At 32.6% G+C, this 3898-nt stretch overlaps 1 protein-coding gene across 1 annotated transcript; it reads left to right on the top strand.

The window, feature by feature from the left end:
* The first annotated feature begins 2628 nt into the window (after nucleotides 1-2628).
* OR5K3 (olfactory receptor family 5 subfamily K member 3) lies at nucleotides 2629-3594 on the top strand. Its single transcript, NM_001005516.1, has one exon. The coding sequence runs from the start codon at nucleotides 2629-2631 to the stop codon at nucleotides 3592-3594; it is 966 nt and encodes a 321-aa protein (NP_001005516.1).
* The last annotated feature ends 304 nt before the right edge of the window (nucleotides 3595-3898 follow it).

A 3898-nucleotide genomic window follows, 5' to 3' on the forward strand; every position in this document is an offset into this window, starting at 1 on the left:
CAGGAGTGACCGATTTTAGATGTCCTAACAAATATATAGTATATCGAGGAGTGAAGTGTGAAGAAGGAAACAACAGGGTAAAGGACAGCTGGTATGAGCAGAAAAGACGGTATAGCAATCTCAATAATTCATATGGGGAGCCAGATAATAATAATATCAAAGTTTCCCTGAGGGCATTGTAGGATGTGGGAACAAATTCACCTCACAGAGTGAAGAAGTTGATGACCTTGGCCGCACTTTCTACACTTTCTTGGATCCTCTTTAAATACTAATTATTTTCTACAAAGCATATTAGTCACACTTCCCCCAGTAACAGGTCAAACCAGCCTGAGACTATTTTCTGCCTGTTTTATCTTGTATGTTCAGAATAGTGAATAAAATTGTAAAAATGAGATCGGTTTCATATGAATCAGCAAGATGATCATCAAACAGACTTTAGTGAAGGTCATTTGTTTTTACCTCATTATCTCACAAGACATCTTTAATTAATTTCAAGTGGTTTATATATTTTTAGGACTGAGTCCACAGAATTACACTGATGTCAGTGCAGAGAAATCCCTTTAGGATTTGGTGGAAAGCTTTAACTTTGCAGTGTTACAGATATAATTATCAACACTGACCTACTAGTAGTCTCCTAGATTTTCATTCTTTTAATCCCAAATGTTTTAGAGGCCAAGGTTTATATTCTTTAATTTTATGAAAACCACATCATAAAGCTGTTACAAAGCTCTTCTCAGTAAAATCTAGGTAAGAGAAGCGTGCTAACTTATTTTTACTTCTAATTTTAGCAACCATAAAGCTCTGAATTATTTAGTACCTCTGAATTATTTAGTATCTTTTATTGTTCTTAAATTTCAGCTTTTTTCTAATCTTTCTAGCACTTTTCAAAATTGAATGCTATGAAGAACTAGGATGAGACACAATACTGCAATTTGTCTGACTTTCTGATTGTAACAGAATTTCAAAACACATAAGTAAAGTTACAAAGAAATTCTGTTAAATAATTTAGGCATGTACATAGAAAGTTATTGCTAACTTAACTGACTACATGGCTTACATTTATTATTTTAAAACGAATTAATAAAATAGTCAGCCCATGTTTTTGTTTTAATATTTTGAATATAAAAACATGTCTATTTTGACCATAGAACTTATATGATTTGAATTATCAGTCAGTATGTCCTAATGAATCACTATGCAGGGAAAGGAAATAGCCTTTTAAAGCAAAACAAAATTTGACTTCAAAAATCCTATTAAGATATAAAGGATTTTCTCCTTTTTCCTAAGTGTTAGAAGGCTATAGTATAAAGGTGAGCTTGCTTTTACTTAGTAGCTTTTAATCTGCTATAGTATACTTCAGAAAATCTTATATAATTTTCTGAAGAAACAGAAAAATGGTAGAAAAGAGTCAATTTAGATAAAAGAAAGACACCTAAAATTTTATGTAATGATTTTATATATTTCTTTGTAGACTTTCCTTTAAAGCTAATAGTCTGCAGAAACCAAAGAATCATTAAGGATCATTAGTAGAATTCATAAAGCAACTTTACTCATTCCAGGTCATCAGGGTGGAGCTAATACTGAAATTAATACTGCCTTTTCCCCCATAGTATTTTACAGCTCTTTTCACAGAAGTATAAATCACAACTAACCTCAAAATGCTTACAATATAAGAAAATTGAATAGACTGACATTTTTAAAAAGCAATGTATATATAGGCAAGAAATTCTGAATTGTGTGGAGTATATAAGAGAGCATCTACCGTTCGGAAAATGGAAATCTGTGTGGACTGGGGCAATTAGTTAAAACTTTAAGTAGCATTATATAAAAAGTATTCCTTATCAAAAGGAGGAAGGATTTAGGCATGTAAGAGAAAATCAACAGGAATAATAGAATGGATAGAGTCAATGTTTATGAAATGGGTGTGACACTGGGGAAAGGGATGAGACAAGTGATAATCTACGGATGTTTATTTCTTTAAATCTCCAAGATAATTTTCTTTAAAGATAAATATTTTCCTCCTCAGTTCTTGGTGAATTTCATACAGTTCCTAAGATATAAATTTAACATATCTGTTATATGCTTTTTTAAAACATTCAATCTACTGGAAGAATATATAGAAATTATTTTCTTGGAGAGAGATGTGTGTGCGTGTGTGTGTGTGTATATATATATATATAGCCCCATATAATATATATATTCTATATTATATGACATATATATATATATTATAAATTTGTTTTAAGGAGGATCTTCAATACAAAACTGACAGTGAAATTATTTGAGAACAATGAACCAGATAGGGGTCCCCTAGTTTTTTATGCTATCCTTGCATAAATTTATAAAGATGAACCATTTCCACTTTAAACATCTTCCCTGGAATTATCAAAATATCCTTGTGAATCCTAAGGGTCAGAGCTTGAGGTCACAGACACTGACACTTTAGGAGAACAAATGTCCCCTAGAAGTATGTGAGGATGTATTTAGAAACAGCAGGGGAAATATGACAAAGAAATTCCTCTACTTGTTGTAAAAAGGAAAAAAATTGAAGGAACAATAATATGCTCTCAATTACAATCAATTACAATATTATAACCCCTCATTCATCTCTCAACAGACAAGGTGGAGATGAATAAGGAGAATCACTCCTTGATAGCTGAGTTCATCCTCACAGGATTTACATATCATCCAAAGCTGAAGACTGTTCTGTTTGTGGTGTTCTTTGCCATCTATCTGATCACCATGGTGGGGAACATTGGTTTGGTGGCATTGATTTATATAGAGCAACGTCTTCACACACCAATGTACATATTTTTAGGCAACCTAGTTCTGATGGATTCCTGCTGTTCCTCTGCTATTACTCCCAAGATGTTAGAGAACTTCTTTTCTGAGGACAAAAGGATTACCCTGTATGAATGTATGGCACAATTTTATTTTCTCTGTCTTGCTGAAACTACAGACTGCTTTCTTCTGGCGGCAATGGCCTATGACTGCTATGTGGCCATATGCAACCCACTGCAGTACCACACCATGATGTCCAAGACACTCTGCATTCAGATGACTGCAGGAGCCTACCTAGCTGGCAACCTGCATCCCATGATTGAAGTAGAGTTTCTGTTGAGGTTAACTTTCTGTGGGTCTCATCAAATCAATCATTTTTTCTGTGATGTTCTTCCATTATATAGACTTTCTTGTATTAACCCTTATATCAATGAATTGGTGTTATTTATCTTGGCAGGATCAATTCAAATCTTTACTATAGTCTTAGTTTCTTATTTCTACATCCTTTTCACAATATTTACAATGAAATCCAAGGAGGGAAGAGGCAAAGCTTTATCTACTTGTGCATCTCACTTTCTCTCTGTGTCAATATTCTGTGATTCCCTTCTCTTCATGTATGCTCGACCAGGTGCAGTTAATGAAGGGGATAAAGATATACCTGTTGCTATATTTTATACTTTAGTTATTCCTTTATTAAATCCTTTTATTTATAGCCTAAGAAATAAGGAAGTAATAAATATTATGAAAAAAATTATGAAGAAGAGAAAATTTTGTCACATTCTGAAACAAATGTCATCCCCTCTGGCAACTTGATAATACTTTATTTTAAATCAAGGGATAGTGAGGCAGTTTACAAGGCCACTTTGAATATAAAATATTAAATTATTTAAAAATAATGATATAGGAGTTCAAAATGTTCAGAAAGGAGAAATTCCTGTAAAATATACTTCAAAATCTAAGCTACTAGTGTTCATCAAAAGTGAACTAAATTATTCATGAAGTCTCAGATTGTGTCAGAGTGTAATTAGTTACAATTTTCAGCAAATCCAACAAATACTAGGAATAAATGTCAGTACATATAACGGTAGTGTGCATTTACTATTGTTGGCAAATTTCT

Source organism: Homo sapiens, chromosome 3, assembly GCF_000001405.40.
Source record: "Homo sapiens chromosome 3, GRCh38.p14 Primary Assembly".
NCBI lineage: Eukaryota > Metazoa > Chordata > Mammalia > Primates > Hominidae > Homo > Homo sapiens.

Bases quoted from the DNA above. Each gene is read 5' to 3' on its own strand.
- OR5K3 (NM_001005516.1), top strand. From the start codon at position 2,629: ATGAATAAGGAGAATCACTCCTTGATAGCTGAGTTCATCCTCACAGGA.